We start from the raw sequence: 25,427 nt of genomic DNA, 5'->3' as shown, positions 1-25,427 counted from the left end.
GGGCTTAACAGCAGTTTAAAGATGATGAAAGTCACTCAACTTGAGGATACAGCAATCAAAATTATCTACTCGGAGAAACAGAGAGAAAGAAAGCTGTAAATTAAACTGAAAAAAAAAAAACCCTCAGGGTACTGTGAGACAATTGAAAAAAATCTAATATATGTAAATTAGATTTCTAGAAAGAGAAGCAAGTGGGAATGAACCTGAAAAAATATTTGACTTAATAATTTGTTAAAAAACATAAATGTACAAAATCAAGAACTCAGACAACCTCAACTAGAAAAATATGAAGAAAATAATATCATAATCAAATTGCTGCAAATCAAAGAGAAAAAGAAAATCTTGAATGTGGCCAGAGTAAAATGACACATCACATATAGGAGAATCATGATATGAGTGACTGCCAACTTTTCTTCAGAAACAGTGGAGACCAAAAAGACAGTGGCACAACACTTTTGAAAGGCTGGAAGAAAAGTACTATAAAGCTTATATCCATGGAAAAGATCCTTCAAAAATAAGAAATACACATATTTTCAAATAAATATAAACTAAACCTTACACCAAAGAAATAAAAATGTATATGTATAAATAGATATGTACAAGAATGCTTGTAGCAGCTTTATTCTTAATTCTTAAAGCAAAACAGTATCTACAAGAGCATGGATAAAATGTTGGTATATTCATGCAATGGAAACTACTCAAAAATAAAAATGAATGCAATACAGATATATACAACATGGATGAATCTCTAAAACAATGCTGAGTGAAAGAAAGCTTATGCAAAACAGTACATACTGTATGATTCTATTTACAGATTCTATTTTAGAACAGTGGTTGTCTATGGGTGGAGGGGTGGGCATTCACTGTGAAGGGAACATGAGGCAACTTTTGTGGTGATGGTATTTTTTTGTATTTTCTGTCTCAGGTTAGTCATTTGTTCAAACTCATGGAATAGTACACTTAAGAAATGTGCATGTCACTATATGTAAATTTTATCAAGACATAATATAAACAAATAAGGAACTCATGTTAATGACAACAAAACTATAATCATAACACTTCTACATATCATAGTGCCTTATTCACTCTTTTGTCACACTTATTAAGTGTAATGTGCTCAGCTAAACATTCCATTACCATGGAAGGATGGTATTTTATCGAGGGTAAAGTGGATATTGGATACATTGCATTTGTGTCACAGAGAGTAAGTTGGTGGATAGATTTCTAATTATGGATTCAATCTTTTAGTCAGTTCTAGTTCTATTCAGAATTCTAATTTTTCCTTATTTTTTCTAGGAAATTGTCCTTTTCACCTAAATTTTTGAATATCTTGGCATGAGGTAAGATTCTTTTTATGCTGTTTTAAATGTCTATTGTATTTATAGCAAGGTAATTTTTTAAACTAGGAGGTGATCCTGGTTGGATCACATTCTCTCTGTTGGAATTCCATTGTGTCCTGATTTTGAAGTGTTGGAAGTATCCAGGCCAGATATATCACCAACCTAGTTTTAGTCCAGTTTTTTGGAATGAGTTTTCATAACACACATACACAGATAATATAAATAAAGACTAAAAACCTACATAAGTAAAGGCTTGAGGTTTCGATTTATGAGATATTCCCTCCTTTCTACCATGGCTGCCAGAAGCCTCAGCTCATGCCCTTATGACTCTGATTTGAATTTTCTTTTTCATTTCTGTTACTAGTGGGATAGTACTTTGTTGCAAGCTTAACTAGGATTTTAAAACAATTTTCCCATCAATTCTGAGAACAAAAATGTCTAGCATTAATGGTTATAGAAATAAAAATGAAAATAAGTAAATCAAGCATTTTACTCAAAGGATTGACAAGGAATTACAAAATAAGCAAAGGAAAGCAGAAGAAAGGAATTAACACAGATAAAAACAAAAATTGGTGAGTTAGAAAGCTAAAAGAAAAAGTAGAGCCGAAGAATACAATTATAGAATAATTTGAAAAATCGGTTAAGTAAACTAGCTAAGATAATCAAGAAAAAAAGAATATAAAATAAAGAGGAAAATAAGTAAGAAACAGAAGAACTTAGAATCATGAGACTAGTTTGCTTAAAACTACACCAAAATGTTAGAACACCCGAAAAAAAAAGTATAATTTTCTAGGAAAGTTGCTTATGAAAGCTGAACTCTGAAGACAGAAAACTTTTAAAGAGATCAACTACCATAGGAGAATAGAGGAAGTAAAGACCTAACTCTTCAAAAGGCCCAGATCCAGACAGCTCTAGGGGAATTTAACTAAACTTTTTAAGATCATATAATTCCAGTGCTGTTTTAAAATGTTCCAGAGCAAGAAAAAAAAAAACTACTGAGTTCATTTTTATAAAGTGAGTAAATACTGATTCACTATCTGAAAAAAAATGCACAGAAACCTGTATAGTTATCTATATGAATATCGGTACAAAATATTAAACAAATGATATAAAAAAGAACCCAGCATGGCAATAAAAAAAAAACTATCGCCATTTGGGATTTATTCCAATAATGCAAGAAAGCTTCAATATTAGAGTTGTCAACCTAAATAACATAGAGAGAGGCTCTCCTTAAAAAAATGCTATTTATTCGAGAATGGATATTGCAATGGGAATACATGTGCCACAGTAAACTATGTGCGTATTCAAGGAGTTAAAAAAAGAAAAAGGTTTTTTATTAAAGGAAAAATGAGGAGGATTAAATAATTGTTTTGAGATAATTATCCTTGGCTACAAGGATCGATAACAAGAGTGACACCAGTCTGAGATTGGACAGGCAGCTGCTGGGCAGACAACCTCACAGAAGTATTTTTTTGTGTGTAAGATTGCAATGCCCTTTGTGCAAGGTTGTGGTTTTTGCAGTCTTTTGTGATAGTTCTTGTTGTCAGGCATTCATGCATGACAACTCTCCCTTCATGGCCTTCCCTGACTCCATTTGTCAGGGTTTTAACACAAATAACTCCCATTTTGATTCTGACAACTTTCACAGATCTTTATTAGTACATATAATATTAATACATATACAATGAAAAATCATATAATCCTGAATCATATAATGACTTCCACAGATGGTGAACAGGCATTTGACAAAATTCAACAACTACTTATTATTTAAAAAATTTTAATGAAATATAAATCCATTGATATTTCCTTAAAATGAAAATTATACTTATCCCTGACCAAAAGTTAGCATCATAATTATGATCAAACTTTACAATCATTTCTCATTAAAGCCAGGGACAAGACAAGTCTGCCAACTCTCATCGCTATAATTATTATTGTACTCTAGCTACTGAAAAAATAAATAATACAAGAGAAATAAATTTGAGGTACAAAATTGGAAAGAATTTAAAACTATGACTATTAGTATTACTATTAGTACATAGAAAATCCAAGATAAGAATAGAAAAATTCAGTAGGGTAGTGAGGTAGAAAATAAAGAGCTTTCTTATATACATATTACAATATAATATGTAATTTTAAAAATCCAATTTATAATAGCAACAAAAAAGATAAAACTAAAAAGAATGCAATATATGTATATAAACAACTGTAAATTGCCTCTGAAAGACATTTAAAAATCGAAAAGAATTAGTATTTTATATATATATACACTTTTACAAATTTTATTTAAAATACTAATAAAAAGCAAGTAACAAATATCAACTTTGTTTTCAGTACACAGTGTGATCCTAAAACTTATATGGAAAAATAAACAGCCAAATAGCCAGGAAAGCTCTGAAAAGGAAGAGCAATGAAGAAGGCCCAGAATTACAGAGCAATAAAACAAATTATATAAGCACCAATGATTACAGTAAAAACTACAGAAATAGAATCAGAAGCATAAGAAAACTTACTATTTGACATAGGTGGTACTGGAACATTTTGGTAACCATTTGGAAAAACAGAATTGGATCCTTAACTCACACTGTACTTTATTTGTGAATAAAGTCCAAATCTAAATATTTCAATGAAAATTTAATAAAACAAGAAAATACTAGAAGAAAACATGGGAGAGTTCTTTATAATATGGGGGTGGGGATGGCTTTTCTATGACCCCAAATCTAAAAGGCATTAAACAAAATTGATAAATTTGGCTACGTATATATGAAAACTTCTGCATGTCAAATAAAAAACATAAGACAAATGACTTAACAAAGTGGCAACACATATCACAAAGGGCTAATCTCCCTACTCAATAAAGGCCTTCTACAAATTAACAAGGAAAGGATCCCAAAAGTGAGCAGAAACTATGAGCAGAAAGTTAACAGAAAGGAAATACAAATGGCTTTGACATATTCAAAAGATGTTCAACTCACTCATAATAAGAATAGTACATTATACTTAGAGGACACATTTTTCATCTATCAGACTGGCAAACATCAAAAGTTAGATAAGACTCAGTTGGCAATATCGTGAGGAAATAGACATATTGCTCCTGAGGGAGTATAAGTAGCTATAATTTTCATAGTAAGTAATTTGGCAATATCCATCATTATTACAAATGCTTATGTCCTTTTACCTAGCAATCCCACTTTTGGGACTTTATCCTTCAGACACATAGACTTCACATGTAGAAAATGGCAAATATATACAAGTTCATTATTGGAGAATTTTCTGTAATTGAAAATGGAAACAACTAAAAAAATTTATTAAGTGGGAATAGATCAATTATTATATATTCTTACAATCTGTCTGCTATACACTACACATGCCTAAAAAAAAGGAGTAAGGTCTCTACTATAGACTTACGCGAATGTTTCCAATATATATTAGTAAAAAGAGCAGGATACAGAATAGTGTATATGATATGCTGTTTTTGCATAAGAAAAATTCGATTAGAATAAGATTTTATGTTCATATATGTCTGTATATTCATAAAGAAATTCTGAAAGGATACATAAGAAACCAATAATGGGCCGGATGTGGTGGCTCACGCCTGTAATCCCAGCACTTTGGGAGGCCAAGGCGGGTGGATCACTTGAGGTCAGGAGTTTGAGACCAGCCTGGCTAACATGGTGAAACCCCATTTCTACTAAAAATACAAAAAATTAGCTGGGCATGGTGATGCACACCTGTTATCCCAGCTACTCGGGAGGCTGAGGCAGGAGAATCACTTGAACCAGGAGATGGAGGCTGCAGTAAGCCTAAATTGCACCATTACACTCCAGCTTGAGCAACAAGAGCAAAACTCTGTCTCAAAAAATAAAAAAAGAAAAAAAAAAAGAAGAAGAAACTAATAATGGCATTTATCTGTGTCTTTGGAAGGGCTGAGAATTGAGTGAATGGGAATGTATTTAAATTATGTGTTTAATTTCATGTGTAAGAATTAAATTTGAAGTGTGTCATATTTGTCATTTTTTATCTGTTACGTTTTATGCTTGTAGCTGGAAGGTTTCCATTTTAGTTTACCCCAGAAATCTCTGTTACAAACATTTCTTTTTTTTAGTAAAGGCTATTAGAAAAATAAATTGAATAGCTGAGTGCAGATGAGTGCAGTGGCTCACACATGTAACCCCAACTCAGGAGACTGAGGTGGGAGGATTGTTTGAAGCCAGGAGTTTGAGACTAGTCTGGGCAACATAGCAAGACCCTGTCTCTACAAAAAAATTTTAAAATTAGCCAGGCATAGTGGAATGCATCTGTAGTCCTAGCTGCTTAGAAAGCTAAGGCAGGAGGATTGCTTTACCCCAGGAGTTTGAGGTTGCAGTGAGCTATGATCACATCACTGCACTCCAGCCTGGGTGACAGAGCGACACTCTTGTCTCTAAAAAAATTATAATAAAAGAAAAAGAAAAAAAAAACCTTGAAATTATGTAGTTTTAATTGACATTTTTACATAAAATATCATTAATATCTTTTTATTTAGAATTGATTTATTATTTCAACCTAAAGTATGACTTTTTTGTTTACTAATACATTTTTATTATTTAAATAACAACTACATTATTTTTCAGAATCCAGTAGCTTTTTTTTTTTTTTCCTTTTTCTTGGTTCTCATTGGTTATAACACAGTAGCTTTTAAAAGCAAATTTTCTTCAGTAAGTTGAAAACAATAAAAAAGTATGAGCTCCCTCTGCTGGCTCTGAAGTGGCATATCAAGGTACATTTTGTTTATTTGGAAACAAACTGGCACACGGTACATGCCATTAATGCAATTTGCTAATATTAGGGAGAATAATTTTAAACTGTTTTCCATAATTTTATAAAAGTTAAATTATGCTAATGTGCCACTAATATTGGCAAGTAAGATTAGCATTTCAATATAAGTGTTAAAGTTGTATTCACTATGTACCTGAGCTATTTGGTATATCCCTATATAGTGCCATATAAGTGTGTTGAACAGGAAAAGTTTCTGCATGCACCACAACAGGTACAGGAGGATTTGTTTTAAAATTTATTATGACTTTTGAATTGCAGTAATCATAAAACCTATGCTGTGTTAGCAGATTAATATTTAGTTCATTAAAAATACCACAGTTTTTGTTGTTGCTGTTGTTGTTGTTTTGAGACAGAGCCCAAGTAGAGTGCAGAATCACCTGGGTTCAGACGATTCTCGTGCCTCAGCCTCCGGAGCAGCTGGGATTACAGGTATGCTCCACGACACCCAGCTAATTATTTTGTATTTTTTAGTAGAGACGGAGTTTCACCATGTTGGCCAGGCTGGTCTCAAACTCCTGGCCTCAAATGATCTGCCCACCTTGACCTTCCAAAGTGTTGGGATTACAGGCATGAGCTACCGCGCCTGGCCCATATGCATAGTTTGAAGCTAGGAGAAATAGAAAATATTTGCATAGTAAGCAGTGACATATCATTCTGAGTATAAATTTTTTTGTCATGACACATAATCTCTGATGCATTGATTTATGATGTACTTTGCAAAATTTCAAGATACTTTTATTTTTATGATTTGTTTTTATCTTCCAGATCATTGATCTGTGTCTCAGTGGTAATCATCTCATCTTTCTATTTATCTACTAAATTCTTTAACTTTTTGTGTTGTACTTAAATATGCTTAAGGATGCCTTTAAAAAAATTCAAATTTTCATCTCTCTTTTACAAGTTCGACTTTCCCCTTGTTTCTTCTGACTGATATTCCTCTCTCAAATTGCTGTCTCTTATATAAGATGTTATTTTTCTTGGTTGGCTCATAAGCTCAATTCTGATTGTTGAAATACTGGGAATTCCACATGTGGTGGAAAGCAAAGGTGTTTCTAGTCAGGGGTGCACTGAAGCCAGTTGTCACTAGCCTATGAGAGCTGATTATTAATTTTTCAAGAATTCTTCAAGCTAGTTGTTAAAGACAGATTTTATTAAAGCTGACATATAAACTTACATTAAAAACCAACACAATTTTCAAAATCATTTCCGAATTATTTAACTTCATTTTATTATTATTTATGCTCCTCAGGTAATTTACATCGACTGCATCTGTATGGTGAAAATATAGTATAATGGGGTGCTGCTGTGAATCTCCTTCCAATTCTGCATTCTGTGATATCATAGTGGTAACCTGAAATCCACCATAGTGGGGACATTTACACAATAACTGGCAAATGCTACAAGGCTGGGCTTTTTCAGTTTTGTTGATTGTCTGGACATAAAAAGGTAATACAGAAAATGTTACCAATACAAGCATTTGGGAAAAATAAACTAAAACCTTTTGTGAAAAACAACAGGTTTTATGGAATTTACAATAAATAATACTGTATATTTTATTATTTATAAATTCTGTGCTACACATTCTTCATATCAGTAAAACTTAGAACATATATATGTATCCATACATTTTGTTTTCTAGAAAGCCACTGGTTGAACATTAACCAGCACACTACTGGAGTCTCTACCCACAAAGGTAGTATAGGTGGGCAAGGAGTCAATTCTCTGTGAGACTCCTGGGGGAGTCACTGACTTAGTACATCAAGAGTAGTGCTGTGATTTTAAAATATGTCCACAAATTCTTTGATACATCTCCTATCTAAAGACAGGCCCTGATTTTCCTCCCCATGAATGTGAGCTGTACCTAACGACTAATGAATGTGGTGGAAGTAACCGTGTTAGACTTCTAAGGCTAATTCATAAAAGACAGTGTGGGCTCTGTCTTACCCTCTTTTGGACTGCTTACTTTGGGGAAAGCCAGTGGCCATGCCATGAGGACACTCGAACATCTATGAAGAGGTCCCACATGGTGTGGATAAGGACTCCTGCAACGGCCATTTTGGACCTAGATTCTCCTGCCCCAGACAGGGCTTCAAATGACTGGGGTCCCAGCAGACATCTTGACTGCAACTTCACAGGAGACTCTGGAGCCAGAACCTCTCAGCTAAGCAGCTCCTGCAATCATAACACACAGAAACTGTGATGTAATGAACGTTTGTTGCTTTAAGTAAGCCCCTAAGGTTTGGAGTAATTCATTAGATGGCAACAGATAACTAATATAAGCAGGGAAGACTCATTATCCCCATTAAACTTCTTGGACTTTTGGGAGTCAATGAAATCTAAGACTCTCTCATATGGTGCTATACCAACTTTGTTGAAGGGAGGGTGTCTTCCCAGAGATCTGTGAAAACCAAACTATTCAGGATTAAGAAGTTCAGAAGCCACCAATACCACTGTTCTTCATTTGTTTGCTTAGTCCACGGGGGAGCAAGTCGTGAACCTACTTCCCATAGCAGAGTCCCCAACACAGGTCAAGGTCCCACCTTCTCCTACCTTCCTATAGGCCTTGGCAAGGATTTGGCTCAAGGGAGGCAAATGTCTTAGAGATGGAAGAGAGGGAAAGGGAGTTATGGCTAAGTTGCCATTTTTCAAGAATCTTCTGTATTTTATATACACACACACACACACACACACACGAGACAGTAATCTTATATTATTGCCAAAAAAAAAAAAACAAAGTCACTAAAATTAGGTGAAAATGTTTTAAAGACATCCATTATTTGAGAAAATGAAAGAACAACAAATCTCATGTAATAATTTCTTTCCTTTTCGGTTTAAGTATTTTTCATGAAAAAGCACAAACAAAGGCCAACATTTCTCGTATTCATGCCTTTGGGCCATCTATAAACCTTTTAAAACTTTCTCCTAACTTTAAATTAATGGCAAAATATACTTAAAAAAGGAGGAGGACCAACAGCCTTGTGCATTTTGGTCTCATACCTATCAAATCATAATTACCAAAATGTCCAAGGCCGTTTGTATCTATTATTTGTATCCTTTATTAGAGACATTCCATTTTAAATTTTTTGTTGATATATTCATATATTTGTAGTCCAAATATTGAGGAAATGAACTAATGCATAAATAATAATGTGATTTAATATCGCTATTTTGTGGTTAGCTTTTTTATTTTAGCATTTTATTTCAGTCTACTTTTAATTAAATAGCTATTGCACTGTCAATTAACAAAGCCTGAATTAAATAGCTATCACATTCTGTCAATTAACAAAGCCTGAATTGAATCCGGCCCTGGATCTTACAGCAGGTAACTTGTGTCTTCTATTACCTTTCCAGCTGACTTTGGAAAAGTCCTTGCACACGTCCAGACCCCAATTTTGTCATCTGTAAATATGAAGATACTGAATTAGGTTATTCTTAAATTCCTATTCAGTTTCTATACTTTTAAACAGTTATTGAATAAAATACTAATCGTATAAAAAATCATATTTTTTTGTATAAAAGGATACAAAAAAATAAAAACTGAATTCTTATCTGAAACAGATTAAAACTTACTTGGCAAAAAAAATTCATATAAAGAAGTAGCTGGTCAGTTAAGTATTAGAAGAGGTCACAAGAAGGAGAAGGGAGTAGAGGCTGTAGGGGTTAGGGAAACTCAAGAGGAAATAGAACACGGTGTGAATCTAAAGAATCTGAAATTGATGGAAAAACCCTTATAAGATCTTATAAGACCTTACAAGATCATTACAAGACCTTACAAGACCTTATAAGACCTTATAAGATCATTATTGTTTTTCAGCCTCCAGAAAGTCTTATATAATGATAATTTGCACTAGGTTTGTTTTGATGTTTTGTGTACTTGTATGTTTGTTTGTGATTTGAATTTGTCTTTCAAACATACAGCTCTCCATCTCATAAATTAATATCTACCTTCTGGAAAATTACATGCAAAAAGTTATTAGTTTATTGAAGAAAAAGAATTAGAATCTAGTTCTTGTTAAAGTATTATCTTTATTAGAGTCACAACTTTTAGCATGCCAAGTGATCTCCCAACTTCTATTTGTAATAAATCCCTCTTCCTTACTCAGTGATAGGCATACACTTAAGCAAAGTCAATTAGATTCTCTATTTTGATAATTTGTATCTCAACACCCAGGGTGGGTGATTGTTACTGAGTAAGCTGAATGCAGGAGCATTCTATAGAAAAAGTCCATGACTGAACAAGTTTTGGCAGCTCTGATTCCTAGAGATTTTATGGTTGCTGGTGCCTTGGAAGCCTATTCAGCATTTCCTTTGATGCAATGAGTTACTTTAATTTCATTTTTAAAAAAAGAATTTCTTCTTATATAAGTAAATCGACTACGGATATTGGTTGAATGAATGGAACTACAAGCTATGTTATAAGAAAAATATATGTCAATAGAGGTCATGAGCCTCAGTGTGTGTTAGGCATTGTATCAATGTTCACTACCCCAGGCTTAGCGGCTTAAAAACATTTATTACTTGTCACCATTCTGTGAGTTGCTGGGGAGTTCTTTTGGTTTGCACTAGCTGTGCAAGTTGGTTGGTTTAGGATGGTCTCACTCACATGCCTGGTGGTTGTCAGGCTGGATCTTACTGGGACCTCATCACATGGCAGCCTCAGCATTCAAGCACTTTTCAAGTTGTTTCTTGCATCACATTTATTTTTATCTCATCATATTTACCTTAATCTCACTAGCAAAGTAAATCACTTGGACAAATCCAGAATCAGTGTGGGAGGACACTACTCAAAGCCCTGAATATGGGAAGTGTGAACAAACTGTGAGAGAGGACATTACTGTAATACCAGGTGTTTGGAAATATGAGTAGAGATGGCTTTTAGCCTCCTCTACCTTTCTAGCTCCTTAAAATGCAAAACAAACAAAAACCCTGAGATGTAGATGGCGTTTAGCCTCCTCTACCTTTCTAGCTCCTTAAAATGCAAAACAAACAAAAACCCTGAGATGTAGATGGCGTTTAGCCTCCTCTACCTTTCTAGCTCCTTAAAATGCAAAACAAACAAAAACCCTGGGCCGGGCGCGGTGGCTCACGCCTGTAATCCCAGCACTTTGGGAGGCCGAGGCGGGCGGATCACGAGATCAGAAAATCGAGAGCATCCTGGCTAACACGGTGAAACCCCGTCTCTACTAAAAATACAAAAAATTAGCCGGTCGTGGTGGCGGGCGCCTATAGTCCCAGCTACTCAGGAGGCTGAGGCAGAATGGCGTGAACCGAGGAGGCGGAGCTTGCAGTGAGCCGAGATGGCGCCACTGCACTCCAGCCTGGGCGACAGAGCGAGACTCCGCCTCAGAAAAAAAAAAAAAAAACAACCCTGTTAATACTTTTTTAAAAACTAGTTCATTTTATCTTTTCCTCTTTCTATGGGAGATTTACAAATATCAAAGAAAGACCATTAAAAAAAAAACAGCCTTTCTTGTGGACTAATGTTTCACTTCATGGCACCTTGAGAGTCAGACAAGTGTCAATCAACATTTCAAAAATGGTAATTATAATGTAGGAAAAAAGTGATAAATGACTGTTGAAAAATGTATTATCTATTCTATGTTAGATTTGGGGAATAAAACAGTGGGTAAAAAAAGCTTTTGCCTTCAAGGAACCTAATCTTTTAACAATACAACGTGATGTAATTGTAACAGGGATAAACACTGTGAACACTCAGCCCAGTCAGGGAAGGTTTCCCGGAGAAAGCGACTTTTAAGGTAAGTGCTGGAGTTAGATGAAGGATAGGGTTGGGCATGGTAAATGTTCTAAACCGAAGGGGCTCTTTGTGCAAAGAGTACAATGACGGACACCATGGCTTGTTTGTAGAAATAGATTAAGGAATTTACAGGCTCTATGCACCAAAATATTATAGTGCTTTCCCACTTGAAATTCAAAATAAAAATAATGCTAACTATAAAACTACATGTAGGGAAGTCTTTCTGATTTTTCCAATGTTCTCATCATTTAAAAAATAATAAATACTCTAAAAATATATTCATGCCTCTGTGTTGATGATTTATTCAGCATATACCAGTTCATCTATTGCATAATGCAGTACTGTTCTGGGAACTGCAGATACATGGTATGGCACCATTGTAGAATGTAAAAAGTGGAGAATGGGAGAAGCTTAAGAACTAGGCAGGTGTCAATTAATGAAAGATGTAAGAAAGCATGTGGTTAAGGATGTGGTGTTGATTACTGACCTGAGTTCAACCTCTGCCATTGACTCATTCTATAAACTTGGGCAACTTGAAGCTTAATTTCCTCAGCTGTAAACTGGGAATGCTAAATTGTGAGAATAAATAAATGTAAAGCATTTAGAACAGTGCTTAATACCATAAAACACAGTTAATTTCAATTAAGTATTACAATTAATAAATTTGTACTTTAGCCTGGGATATGGGGAGCCAATAAGGGTTTACATGATTAGAGGGGGCTTTAATGGATTTCTTTGGCTGCAGTGTATCATCTGGGTTGAATGACAATGAGTAGATTCTAGGTATGCCTAGGAGGAAGACTCAATAGATATTCATTGGGATATTAATTGGATAGTGGTAAAAGGAGAAGGATGATACTTAGATTTTTGACTTGAGCAATTGGATGATGGTGGCTTTCTATGAGTTACATATCACAGGAAAGGGGCAAAATTGGTTAGTGAAGATAATGAGTTTAGTTTTAGAGACTGATTTGAGATGCCTAGAAGACATCCAAGTAATGACCTTTGGGAAACATCAGCATGGATATAGGAGTTGAAATAGTAAAAATAGATAAGATGGGTTGGGGATCATGTTTAGATTGAAAAAAGACCAACAGGAATTCCAAGGCACATCCATATGAAGTGTGGTTGAAGTTCAAGAAGGATACATTACAGTATTCAGAAAAATCAGGGGGAAAAACCCAAGAAGATTGTGATGCAATAAAAATAGCAGGGAAAAAAGTGTTTCAAGAAAAAAACATGTGAACAATGTTGTCAAATGTTATATTTGATCAAATAACACAAGACTAAATGTGGATACTACATTTGGTCAGTGTCAGCGAAAAGCAAGTCACTGATAACCTTGGCAAGAAGTGTTTTGGTAAAATGATAGAGACAGAAGCTAGTTCATACTGAACTGGAGTGATGGAAGAGAGGAACCTGGGACAATGAGTACAAACAACTCTTGCTTGCCTATAAAGAGAAAAGGAAAGAATGGTGGCTGAAAGCAGATCTTCAAATGATAGAGCTGAATAGTTGTTTTTTTAACAACTTTGAAAAGATCAACACCATTAACACTCTAGTTCAAACTTCCAACATCTCACATGGACCATTACAATATTCTCCTAATTGTTTCCTTCTTCTACCACTCCCCATTGTATCTTTCTTGGCTACCCCCACCTCAGCCCCATACATTCTCCACACAAATCTAATTATAGCCTTTCCTTACTCATGTAAGCCAGTTGTAGAAGGCTCTTCCTTCTTGAACTAGAATGGGTATACCTCTTAATATTCTCTAGTGAGAGAGATCAGAGAAGCTATGGGGCCTCACACTACTGATGAGTGTTCATCTCTATCCTGTAATTCATCTGCTGGTAAGTGTTTATTCTTACTTAATAATTCACAAAAGGAAGGGTGGTAGCCCCCACTTTGCTCTCAGTATTGGCTGGTCTCCCTGCAGGTACTCTTCCTTCCCTGGGCCCTACCACACCTGAGCTTCCCAAACTGAACAAACGCCAATGATGTTTTCAGCAGTAGTTTCATAGAAGCATTCTAAAACATACCAAAGCAGTACAGAGTAAGAGGACTAAGAGTTACTCTATTAATACACTGAGCTCTTTATTTCTTTCCTTTATTTCACATAAGGAGAGAAAAAAGTTCTTACATTTTAGGAAAGCACTGTCCAATAAAAATATGTGAGCTGCATATGTAATTTTAAGTTTTCTAGGGGCCACATTTTTAAATAAAAAATAATAATAATAAGGTGAGGGCCAGGCACAGTGGCTCATGCCTGTAATCCTAGCACTTTGAGAGGCCAAGGCGGGCAGATCACTTAAGGACAAGAGTTCAAAACTAGCCTGGCCAACATGGTGAAACCCTGTCTCTACTAAAAATACAAAAAAATTAGATAGGTGTGGTGGCAGGCACCTGTAATCCCAGCTACTCAGGAGGGTGAGACAGGAGAAATCACTTGAACCTGGGAGGCAGATGTTGCAGTGAGCAGAGATCACGCCACTGCACTCCAGCCTGGGCAACAGAGCGAGACTCCGTCTCAAAAAAAAGAAAAGTGAAATTAATTTTATTAATATACTTTATTTAGTATATTAATAGGCCAATATATCCAAATATTCTTTCAATGTGCAATTAATGTAAAAATTAAGATATTTTACTTTCTGGTTGTTGAGGAACAAGTGAAAAACATTGTTCACGTTTTTTCTAAGGCTTTGAAATCTGATGCACATTTTATACTTACTGCACACCACAATTCTAAATAGCCACAAGAACTTAACAGCTACACATTGCTAGTGGCTATGGTATGTGGCAGTGTAGTTTGTTCTACCCCTATGTTTACTATTCATTTGCTATGAAAACAGTTTGTGATGGATGCTGCTTCCACAGCCAGGAATTGGTCCAGCCCGATGCTGTTAAGGGAGTCAACTCTTTCTTCTGGGAAGGAAGGTCAAATCCTGTGTGAGCTTTGGCAGTTACATGAAATGCAGGCTTTGAGCTCATTCCTAAATTCTGGTTTACCTTGTATGGTAGATTATATTATAAACTCACTTATGTTTGCTGCTCCTCCTTGCTCCAGCCTATTTTGAATCAGGCTTGGTCACATGACTTGCTCTGGTCAATGAAATGTGGAAAGAAGTGATGTTGTCCACTTCTGTGAGCAGAAATTGTAGGAGACAATACACGGTTTGTCATAATCTCTTTTGTGTCCACCATTATGACTGACAACATCCCAAACACACAGAGGCTACTCCATCAGCCTGGGACCTGAAGGGAGGAACACGTGGAGTAGAGGTGCAGCTAACCTGTAATGGACATGCAGGGTTTGAGAGAAATGAACCCTTGTTGTTCATTACTGCAGCCAAACCTAGCCTCTTCCTAACTTATGCACTATTGTTTGTGGGTGATGTAGATTGTTTTTTCTCTTTGTTGTCTGGAGGAATGGGATAGTGCAGCTTTAAAACTTTAGAGTGTGTCTCCTAAGGGCATTCATTATGCCTGATGTTTGTTATTGCAATGTTATTGGTTGTTTTCCTGGCTTAGGTTCTGGCCCCCAATAAAAATGGCTTCAAATTTCAAAAGCCCTAATTAAGGTTCTACATCATTACCTTTTTAACAGTTTTGTCCTAAGGCTACTAAGGAACTAAGAACAATATGTAAAGGTGAATTTTCTTCAAAAGATTATCTGTGTCTTCCCACACTTCAATTAATAAGCAAATAAGATTTCTTTTCTGATTTTTTTCCCCCTGATTTTTGGCTTGAAAGACAGAGATACCTCTACAATAAATATTTGTTGAAAAAAAAAGGAATGAAATGAAATGATATGATAGCAGCTTTCTAGGTGGGATCATATGCATATAAGCATGTATATACCTACTTATGAAATCCATGGTGGAAGTTTATGAATCTGCTTTCTCTTGAATAGGTTTTCTTTAAGTATTTATTCTTATAATAACTAACAAATGCCATTTGTAGTGACAGGTGAGTGAACCCAAGGATTCTTGACTCTGAGCTGACAGACTGTCACCTAGGTTACGGGTTTTATTCTCCAATTCATTCATTCAACAAGAGAACCTGCCATGTGCTATCAACTTCTCTAAGCGCAAGAGATACATTTGCAGAAAAGAGGCAAAATCTCTGCTTTCCTGGAACTTCCATTGTAGCCAGTCTGTTAGGCCTTCCCAGAGATCTTTTTGTTTTCTGGGTCTCTCCGCCTTAACAGATTTTTTTTAAAGGTTTTTTATTATGGAAAATTTCAATATGTAAGAGCTGAAAGAATTATAACCATCCCCATCATCCAGTTTCAACCACAATCAACTCATAGCCAATCTTATTTCATTGATACTCTACTCTCTCTCCTTATTCCATTTCAAATCATTTTGATAGCACAAGTATCACATCATATCACTAATATGATTTTTAATAATATTACATACATGTTTTTCCTCTGAGGACACTTACCTGTCCTCATTTGACAGTTTGTATGGGAGACTTTGTGAGTGTCTGCATGTGTGTGCGTATGAACATGCAATATATGTATATATACCTTTTTAATGTTATTACCCACCATAACCACATCCATAAACAGTTCCACAGCACCTATGGAGATGGAGTCATAATTAATCATGGGTATAAACAGTGCCCACTGAAGAGTTGGTGATTGCCTCTCAAAGCTTTTTAGCTAGGTGTGGTGACTCATGCCTGTAATCCCAGCACTTTGAGAGGCCAAAGCAGGCAGATCACTTGAGCTCAAGAGATCAGCCTGGGCAACATGGTGAAACCCCGTCTACCAAAAATACAAAAAGAAAATTAGCCAGGCGTGGGTGGCATGTGCCTGTGGTCCCAGTTACTCAGGAGGCTGAGGTGAGAGGATCACTTGAGCCCAGGAGGCAGAGGTTGTAGTGAGCTGAGATTATGCCACCGCACTCTAGCCTGTGTGACACAGAGAGACTCCATCACACACACATAAAAAACAAAAAACAAAAAAAGCTTTTTGTTTTTTTGAGACAGGGTCTCAGTCTGTTTCCCAGGCTGGAGTGCAGTGGCGTGATCTTGGCTTGCTGCAACCTTCGCCTCCTGTGTTCAAGTGATTCTCCTGCCTCGGCCTTCCAAGTAGCTGGGATTACAGGTGTGTGCCACTGGGCTTGGCTAATTTTTGTATTATAATAGAGACATGGTTTTGCCATGTTGGCCAGGCTGGTCTCAAACTCCTGACCTCAGGTAATCCACCCGTCAGCCTCCCAAAGTGCTGGGATTACAGGCGTGAGCCACTGCGCTCGGCCTTAAAAAAGCTTTTTATGCCAGAAGTGCTCTGGTTCAATTTAGGGGGATATGATAGTATGGTTTTTTTTTTTTTTTTTTTTGAGATGGAGTCTCGCTCTATTGCCCTGTTGCTCAGGCTGGAGTACAGTGGCGCAATCTCGGTTCACTGCAACCTCTGCGTCCTGGGTTCAAGTGATTCTCCTGCCTCAGCCTCCCTTCCAAGTAGCTGGGATTACAGGAACTCACCATCATGTCCAGCTAATTTTTGTATGTTCAGTAGAGATGGGTTTCACCATGTAAGCCAGGCTGGTCTCGAACTCCTGACCTCAAGTGATCTGCCTTCTTCAGCCTCCCAAAGTGCTGGGATTACAGGTGTGAGCCACTGTGCCTTGCCTGGGATACGATACCATGTATGTCTTCTGATCCCAGTTTACAACATCAGTAATTGCTCAAGCGTTTCCTCTTGAATTACCTAAGGATATCACAAAAGTGTTACTTTTCTTTGCAAGTCATCAGTGTCTTAACACAGATAAGAAAACTATATTCCCTTTATTAACATGACCTTGATCTTCTAGGAAAATAAAAACCCTTGAATTATTATATTAGAGTACGATATGCTTCCTGTTTTTATTTTAAAATTCCCAAATTTAATCAGGTTCTTTCTTAAAAGAAGTATGCGTTGGTGTGTTCATATTTTAAATTTATCCTGTCACACCAAAAACCTTTCAATGGCTTCGCATCATTATTTTAAATAAAATCCAGTTCCAAAATCTTAACATGAAATTTTTTTACCTCTAACTTGACTGACAGCCATTCCCTATGTCCCCAATTTGATACCCTCCCACCACTCTGTCCTTAAGATCCTGACTCTTCTTTACCTCAGGAACATCCTACAAGCTATTATGTATGCTGGAATGTTCTTGTTTCGACTTTTACTCATTATTCACTTTTCTTAACCATTTAAATATCATATCCTTAGAGAAACCATGCTTGAGCCTTTACAGTCTAAATTGCTAAAATGGTTCTTAGTTTCCTCTTTCATAATACTTATAATTTTATTATTAACTACGATTTTTAAAATGTACAAAAATAGAATGAATCAGATGATTAAATTTGTGTTATGGTGTTCTCTGGGAAGTGGATGCTGAGATGGGGTTAAAAGTGCAAAAAGTTTACTGGAAAGTAGCACCTGTGAAATGGAAAGGGGGGAAGCAGAATTGGGTGGGAGAGCCATTAGATTACCATGCAGGTCTGACAATACTTCTGCCATCCCAATATCGAGCAGGTCCTTATCCCTTGCTCAGTCTTGAGCTGCGGATGGGCATGGGGGAGAGGGTTTTCCCTGAGAACAGTGTAACTTCAACTTGAAAGCTGAGGTGAACCTAGAAAGAGTTAACAACTGGAAGCTGTCAGGTAACTATCCTCCTTGCAGTTGGGCAGTGAGTCCTTTCTTGAAGGGAGATCTGAGCTGCACACCTCTGTGACTGCTATACACTGTAGGATGTCAATTCAATCCAAATTAATCCATAACTTCAATGATGAAGAATTTTTTGTTTACAAGTTCAACAATCTTGTTCTATGTATTTGGAAACTAAAGGTTCACATTTATTTATTTATTTATTTATTTATTTATTTATTTAGACGTAGTTTCACTCTGTCGCCAAGGCTGGAGTACAGTGGCTCAATCTCGGCTCACCGACAACTCCACTTCCCAGGTTCAAGCGATTCTCCCACCTCAGCCTCTGGGCTGGGTACTACAGGTGTGTGCCAACACACCTGGCTAATTTTTGTATTTTTAGTAGAGATGGGGTTTCACCATGTTGGCCAGGCCGGTCTTGAACTCCTGACCTCAAGTGATCCGCCTGCCTCGGCCTCCCAAAGTGCTGGGGTTATAGGTGTGAGCCACTGTGCCAGACCAAGATTCATATTTAGCCAAGCTAAATTTGAAAAAGAGCAAAGAAGAGGGATTTGCCTTATTATATATTAAGATATTCTATAATACAATAGTAAATAAAAGCAACATAGTACTGGAGTAGTCACAGACAAGCTGACCAATTGAAAAATAGGTCAGAAGCAGAACACAAATGAAATGAAAACAGAAAGATATAAGTGGCATCAAAAATCAAACAGGAAGGAAGCTAGGCACGGTGGCTCACGCCTGTAATCCCAACACTTTAGGAGGCCGAGGCGGGCCGATCACTTGAGGCCAGGAGTTCAAGAATAGCATGGCCAACATGGTGAAACGCCCTCTCTAATTAGATGGGCATGGTGGTGCACACCTATAGTCCCAGCTACTTGGGAGGCTGAGGTAGAACTGCTTGAACCTGGGAGGCAGAGGTTGCAGTGAGCCAAGATTGCGCCACTGCACTCCAGCATTGGAGATGGTGTCAGACTCTGTCCCAGGAAAAAAAAAAAAAAAAAAAGAAAAAAATCAACAGGAAAGAATAAACTGAGTGAGTAGACTTATAGAAAAAAAAAATGGCCTAGATCCTCACTTTACACCACAAACAGGGATGTATTACAGAGAGAATAAATACTTAAGTGTGATTCTAAGTAGAGTAATGGACTGCAAAAGAAATAGAAGAAAATACAGAATCTCTTTTTGATCCGGAAATGCTGACTGTTTTTAAACAAGACTTCAAAAGCACTATTGAGAGTAGTAAGACTGTATTCAACTAGAGGAGAGAGCTGGAAAAACCTGAGGAGGAGTTCAGCACACTATAGAGAATATTCCTGGGATTGGTGCAGCTAAAAGATGAAGGCAACTTATGGTAATAAACCATAAAGAAATACAGATCTGTTAGAGGGCATATCATTCTCTTGCCTATCTAAAATATTTTCTCCTGCCTCTGCTTCCTTCCTATTTAAAACGAAGCATGTGTCTTCAATAAACATTTTTTGAGTTTCAGACACTGAGTTAAGTGCAGGACGTAGAAAGAGGAATAAACTTGAGTCCAGTCCTTAAAAGAGCTCACAAGGCCGAGAAAGATGAGAAAACTAAATAAAATGTTTTATTTTTATCTGTCCTCACAATCTCTTCCCAGTAAATGTTTTAACTCCTGTTCTACAGGTAGGGAGCTAGACCTTTGTCCAGGGTATCATTGAGGTACTGACATTTGAGCAATAAGGAAAATCATTCTGGCAAAAGGAACAGTGCTAATAAAGTCACATGGCCTTGAAAGAACATGGTGTATTGGAAAACGTTAAGCAGGCAACCTGATACTGGACATTCCAAAATGTACATGTTACTGAATAGAGAAAGTAGTCCACAGCAGCTGTTTAGTCTTCTCTTAGTAGAATTGATGATTACATCAGCTAATTGTCGCCTTTGAAGGCAGGGCCAAAGAAGATGAAGCAGGGATAAATGAAGGATAAATGTTAATGGTTAAGGAAGAGAAGCATTCTAGGAAGCAAAAATGACTAACTGTGAAGTGATAATAAGCACTGTACCATAAATTTAGAGGAGGAAGATACTGCTATCAGCCACAGTGGCCAGGAAAGGTTTCATGGAAGTGGTACGGCTTCCTTTGGTCATTCAAAAAATATAGTTAATCCTTATTACTTACAGATTCTGTATTTGTGAGTTTGCCTACTTGCTAAAATTTATTTGCAATGCCCAAATCAATACTTGGAATGCTTTTGCAGTCATCTGTCGACATGAACAGAGGCAAAAAAATTTGAGTCACCTGATGCACATGTTCCCAGCTTTGGTGAAACAAGGGGATGCTCTGCCTTCCTGTTTTAGCTCTCACACTGGAAACAAGTGTCCTTTTCATGGTCTATTTAAGGCCACATTTGTTGCATTTTTGACCTTTTTGTGATTTCACTGTTTAAAATGCCCCCCAAGTGTAGTGATGAGGCTATCTGGGTCCCTAAGTGCCAGAAGGCTCTTCTTTCTTTTTAAAGAGAAAATACATACGCCAGGTAAGCATGAGTTATAGTGCCACTGGCTGTGAGTTCAATGTTAATGAATCAACTATATTAAATAAGGTGCCTTAAAAATTTTTTTTTTTCCTACATAAGGTGCCTTTAAAAAGAAACACACATAAAACAAGGTATTTATGGGCTGGTTGACAAACATTTAATAAGAGGCTTGAAGGAACCTAATCCTGCATTTCTCCTAGGAGCAATGGTTCCATATTCACTAATTCAGCATTTGTGGCTTTTTTACAGAACCACCGTGAATAAGGATTGGCTGTATATATTAGCAGCTGTTCTTGAAGCGGGGGATTCAAAGCTATAATCCACTAAAGAACAGATAATCACATACTTGCAAAAATAAAGCTATGAGTGCTATAAAAGAAGCAATCACAGGCTGATGTCAGAAAATCTCAGAGGGACTCTCGCTTTACAGAAGGGAGGTCAAAGATGGATTTCCAAAGGCGATGCTGTATGCACTGCATTTTGACGCTTAAGTAGGAATCTATCAAATGAAAGGTAGAGAAACACATTTTGCAATGGCTCAATTTAGTGAGAGGACACACTTCTGTGGAGACAAACGTTTACTCCCTCTTGAATGCTAATTTGTCATGTTGCCTTCTGATTAACCCCAGCCCTGTGATTATTACTTTATTTACTGTCCTTAGTTTAACAACAAAGCAACCCTGATGTTATCACACAAATTACAGGCTATGATGCATATAGCATTCTTGCCTGTCTGGAGGGTTGCCTTTAAATGTCTCTATAGAGTACGTACACCCTTTCCTTATGGCATGTAAGTACTGGTCTGGGGAGTAAAAGGGCAGACATCTACCTGTCTTGCTGCCACTGAAGACCATGCTTCTGTCTGTAAGTTACCCCCAACAAAACACTCTTTACTGACCAAACTGGATTTGTCTGCTTTGTTCATTTGATTTCTCCTTTGATGTTTGGGGGGCACTTTGCATAAAGGGCCTTTTCATGGAACAACTTATTTTAAGGAACTCAAAATAGTTTAGGATGGCTGGAGCAAAGACTGAAAGGAGTTTCTAGGCAAAAAGGAAGGTGTCTGATTTATGAAAGTCCCTTTATAGGATGTTAAATAATGTGTTTTATTCTAAAGATAATGTGGAAGTTGAAGATTTTAAGCAAGAAAGTGACATGATTAGATCAAAATTTTAGAATTACTGCTATTAAAGGCAATGATGATGAGGGCAACTGAAGATGAACTGAGATGGAGGTCAGCATAAAAGGCAAAGATATTAAAAGGCTTTTGCTATTATTTAGGAAGAATAAAAGACTTTAAATAAGACAGTGACAGTGGTATGAGAGATGGATGGGCAAAGTTTGAGCAGTCAGGGAAAGAAGTAGAAGCGTTCTCTGTGGAAAATAAAGTGAACAAATGTTTGGAGAAAGGGAGGGTGAGCAAATCAGTTTATCTGGGGTATACAGTATTTGATAGAAGCTTTGGAAGGCTGAAGTGGAGAGCCAGAGTAATGGAGTAGCTGGTGATAAGGTTGAAAATATTGGTGGCGTCAGCCTGTGGCAAGGCTACAACAAACAGACTAAACAAATATAATTTTAACTTTCGGCAGTATTAAATTTATAAACAATTTTTATTGTAAAATACATATAAAACCTACCGTTTTCATTAAGTATATGGTCCACTGCATTAAGTACATTCATATTGTGCAACCCACACAACACCACTCATCTCCAGAATCTAAATCATCCTAAACTGAAACTCTATTATCCACTGAAATATAACTCCTCATTTCCCCTTCTCCTGGGCACCCTCTCCACCCCTGCTCTTGCTACCATTCCACCTTCTGTCTCTAGGAGTTTTGACTACTCTAGGTACTTAATGTAAGTGGAATCATAATATTTGTCCTTTCATGTCTGGTTTATTTCACTCAGCTAAATCACTTTAATCAACACCCTGGTTATTCAGTAGCTGGATTCTAATTTGTATTCTACTCTATATGCTGTATTTTAAAACAAATGTCTTGCTTTGTAGTTCATAATCTTTCCACCTAATCCTTAAAGACACTTCACTCTAGCAAATTATAAACTCAAGAGTTCCTAAGAACAATTTAGCCTATCGGTGTCTCTCATAAAGAGCTTTTATTGATCTACTTACTGAAAATGTCTTTAGATTGTGAATATTTTCATTCCATTACAGTTCATGGAACGTAGACCCTTTGTAAAATTCCACCTAGTATCTAAATAGAACTCAAGCAGGAATCAAACTTATTTGATCACCCAGGAAAATAGTTTATTTATTTGGGTTGCTAATATGAAGACTCTCTCTTTTGATACTATATAATTTCCCGATCTGAGATAGGGCTGAATTTGCTCTAAATAAAGAGAATTTTAAAAATAACAAAACTTATCTTTAGCTGGGGGAAAGTGCAGGCTGGAAACTACCTGAGAGACGTGAAGGTTCTCTCACCTTTCCCTTGTGGGCAGCCCTCAGTCATTAGGGCTCTACCAGCAAGTCAAGTACTGTTGGACAAGACACTAATCCTCTGGCGGTCTCATTGGGCTCCATTAGACCAGCCTGTGTTTACAAACCTCGTTCACATCACAGCATACACAGAATATGATACTGGTAGGGCACTTAGGTAAACTGAGGAGGTAGTGTGCTCGGCACCTGGAACCTACGGGCCGCCTGGTGTCGCGCACGCGGGAGTGTACGCTCTCAAAGAGCGATCCATCCGGCAGGACCGTTCCAGCTGACAGGCCACGGCCGTCTTACCGGGGACGAGCTGGGGTTCCCGCTGTTTCTGAAGTCAGCGGTCTTTTCCTCCTTGTAAGAAATAAGGTCTTTATATCATAAAGGTAAGCAAAGAATAAAAAGGCACAAAGGCCGCAAGCAACGCACACACGCAAAAATCGAACTACAGCACTCGACCCGCGCATTCTCCGCCGACCTTACGTCTCTCCCAGCAGGCTCCGGGAGCCACCGCGAGACTTCATCAATTCTCGCGAGATTTACCGGCAGCCATCTTCTTGGGGGTGCTGGGAGCCGGGAAGACCCCCTGAATCGTTCCCATTGAGCTGCCCTTCGCCTTCGCTTTCTTTACTTTTGCCTTTTCGACGTAGCCAACAAGCACCTGGTCCCGAGGCTGAGAGAAGGCTCGGGTCTAAGCGCGTGTCGCGCTTCCGGTCTGGGTAGATTTGCTGGGGAAGAGGGAAGGGGGAGGGCCCGGGCAAACCGTTGCTGTTTCAGCCCGGGCTGGGGGCCGGGGACGGGGAGCTCCTGGCACCCCGTGCACTTGTGGCCTGCGGCGGTCCTTGCAGAGCTGTTCGCCGACCGGGGCCCGCGGGAACCTGCCACCGGCGCCTCCCACCGCGGCCCACGCGGGCGGCGCGCGGAGGAGGGGGCGGGGGCAGCGGCGGCTGTAGCGGCCGCGACCTGGGCGGGCGGAGGAGTGTGACGGGCCTTAGGGCCGCTGTGGATGGTTTCTAAAATGATCATTGAAAACTTCGAGGCACTCAAGTCCTGGCTCAGCAAGACTCTCGAGCCCATGTGAGTATCCGGGGGATATCTCTTTGCAGGGATGGCAGTGGGAGATAGGCGGACCCAGAGATCTGTGCAGTTTCCCCAAGTGCCTGCGGTGGAGGCCGAAGCGGTGAACGGAGGTCCCAGGGTTCTGTGGCTTCTCCTCCTCGTCCACCTCGCTTCCAGATTCAGGATACCCCCGAGAGCCTGAGTCGAGCTTTATTTTATTGCTGAGCTGCTCTCGTTTTCCCGTTATATATAGACCGTCTCCAACCCCCACCCGCAATATTTTCCGGGGGCCTCAAAATCGGTTTATTTTAGTGAAACCGACTGTATTTTACTTCCTACAGATTATTTTACCTTGTTTTTCTAAATGAAGTAGACGGCCTTTATTGGGGATTCGGGCAGTTCTAGCTTAAATCACTCACGTTTCACCTAAATATAATTCCTGAAAGCAAGGCCACGTCTCCCATGTGCTGTCTGGCTCATCTGCACCTCTCTTCACTGATTGAAGATGTAACAGGTGCTGAGGTGGCCAGTAAAATTCCCCTTTCCCGCCTACGCGTTCGTTAGCTTGGAGAGGAGGAAGAAAATTGAATCTTCATCCATATGGAATATTTAGCAGTTTTAAGTGGGATGCTATAGATAGATTTTGTGTTGGGGGCTGCGGTTAGAGTGCTGAAATAGTCTTAGATTGGAAAATTTAAGGAGTGTTTTGACGACTTGTTAATACAAAATATGACATGGACCAAAGTGCTTAATCAGAATTGGTTGATTTACAATAATGCAATGGGGAAAATTCACGTATTTAATAAAGTTATTAGGTACCTACTGTATA

General features: G+C 37.8%; 1 protein-coding gene and 2 long non-coding RNA genes across 51 annotated transcripts in view, besides 4 other annotated features; 2 read left to right on the top strand and 1 right to left on the bottom strand.

Moving 5' to 3' along the window:
* The first annotated feature begins 981 nt into the window (after positions 1-981).
* Positions 982-7,717, top strand: LOC105370274 (uncharacterized). Its single transcript, XR_942112.2, has 4 exons — positions 982-1,204; positions 1,297-1,340; positions 6,515-6,590; positions 7,411-7,717. It is a non-coding gene; the product is annotated as an uncharacterized LOC105370274 (long non-coding RNA).
* RBM26-AS1 (RBM26 antisense RNA 1) lies at positions 5,984-24,011 on the bottom strand. Its single transcript, NR_038991.1, has 7 exons — positions 23,843-24,011; positions 17,413-17,638; positions 14,956-15,058; positions 12,404-12,485; positions 9,505-9,560; positions 8,106-8,333; positions 5,984-7,593 (listed from the first exon to the last, which is right to left on the bottom strand). It is a non-coding gene; the product is annotated as an RBM26 antisense RNA 1 (long non-coding RNA).
* Positions 23,409-24,400: an enhancer, noted in NCBI's record as "H3K27ac hESC enhancer chr13:79980055-79981046 (GRCh37/hg19 assembly coordinates)". NCBI's record gives its function as "activates a minimal SCP1, AML or CMV promoter by ChIP-STARR-seq in primed H9 embryonic stem cells {active_cell/tissue: H9 hESC(primed)}" and the evidence as "EXISTENCE:reporter gene assay evidence [ECO:0000049][PMID:30033119]".
* Positions 23,409-24,509: a biological region, named in NCBI's record as "H3K27ac hESC enhancer GRCh37_chr13:79980055-79981046".
* Positions 23,780-24,079: an enhancer, noted in NCBI's record as "active region_7858". NCBI's record gives its function as "activates an Ori minimal core promoter by ATAC-STARR-seq in GM12878 lymphoblastoid cells {active_cell/tissue: GM12878}" and the evidence as "EXISTENCE:reporter gene assay evidence [ECO:0000049][PMID:35858748]".
* The window catches only part of RBM26 (RNA binding motif protein 26), a 94,429-nt gene continuing 93,066 nt past the window's right edge, over positions 24,065-25,427 (top strand). For all 49 annotated transcript variants that reach the window (XM_047430536.1, XM_047430535.1, XM_047430521.1 and 46 more), the window contains exon 1: positions 24,065-24,616. In XM_047430536.1, the coding sequence (XP_047286492.1) occupies positions 24,546-24,616 (71 nt within the window). In that variant the 5' untranslated portion in view covers positions 24,065-24,545. The remainder of the gene's footprint in view (positions 24,617-25,427) is intronic.
* Positions 24,310-24,509: a silencer, noted in NCBI's record as "silent region_5426". NCBI's record gives its function as "represses an Ori minimal core promoter by ATAC-STARR-seq in GM12878 lymphoblastoid cells {active_cell/tissue: GM12878}" and the evidence as "EXISTENCE:reporter gene assay evidence [ECO:0000049][PMID:35858748]".

The sequence above is a fragment of the Homo sapiens genome, chromosome 13 (assembly GCF_000001405.40).
Source record: "Homo sapiens chromosome 13, GRCh38.p14 Primary Assembly".
Classification (NCBI taxonomy): Eukaryota; Metazoa; Chordata; class Mammalia; order Primates; family Hominidae; genus Homo; species Homo sapiens.
The sequence above is the reverse complement of the archived record's forward strand: the minus strand, read 5'-3'. Positions and strand labels throughout refer to the sequence as shown.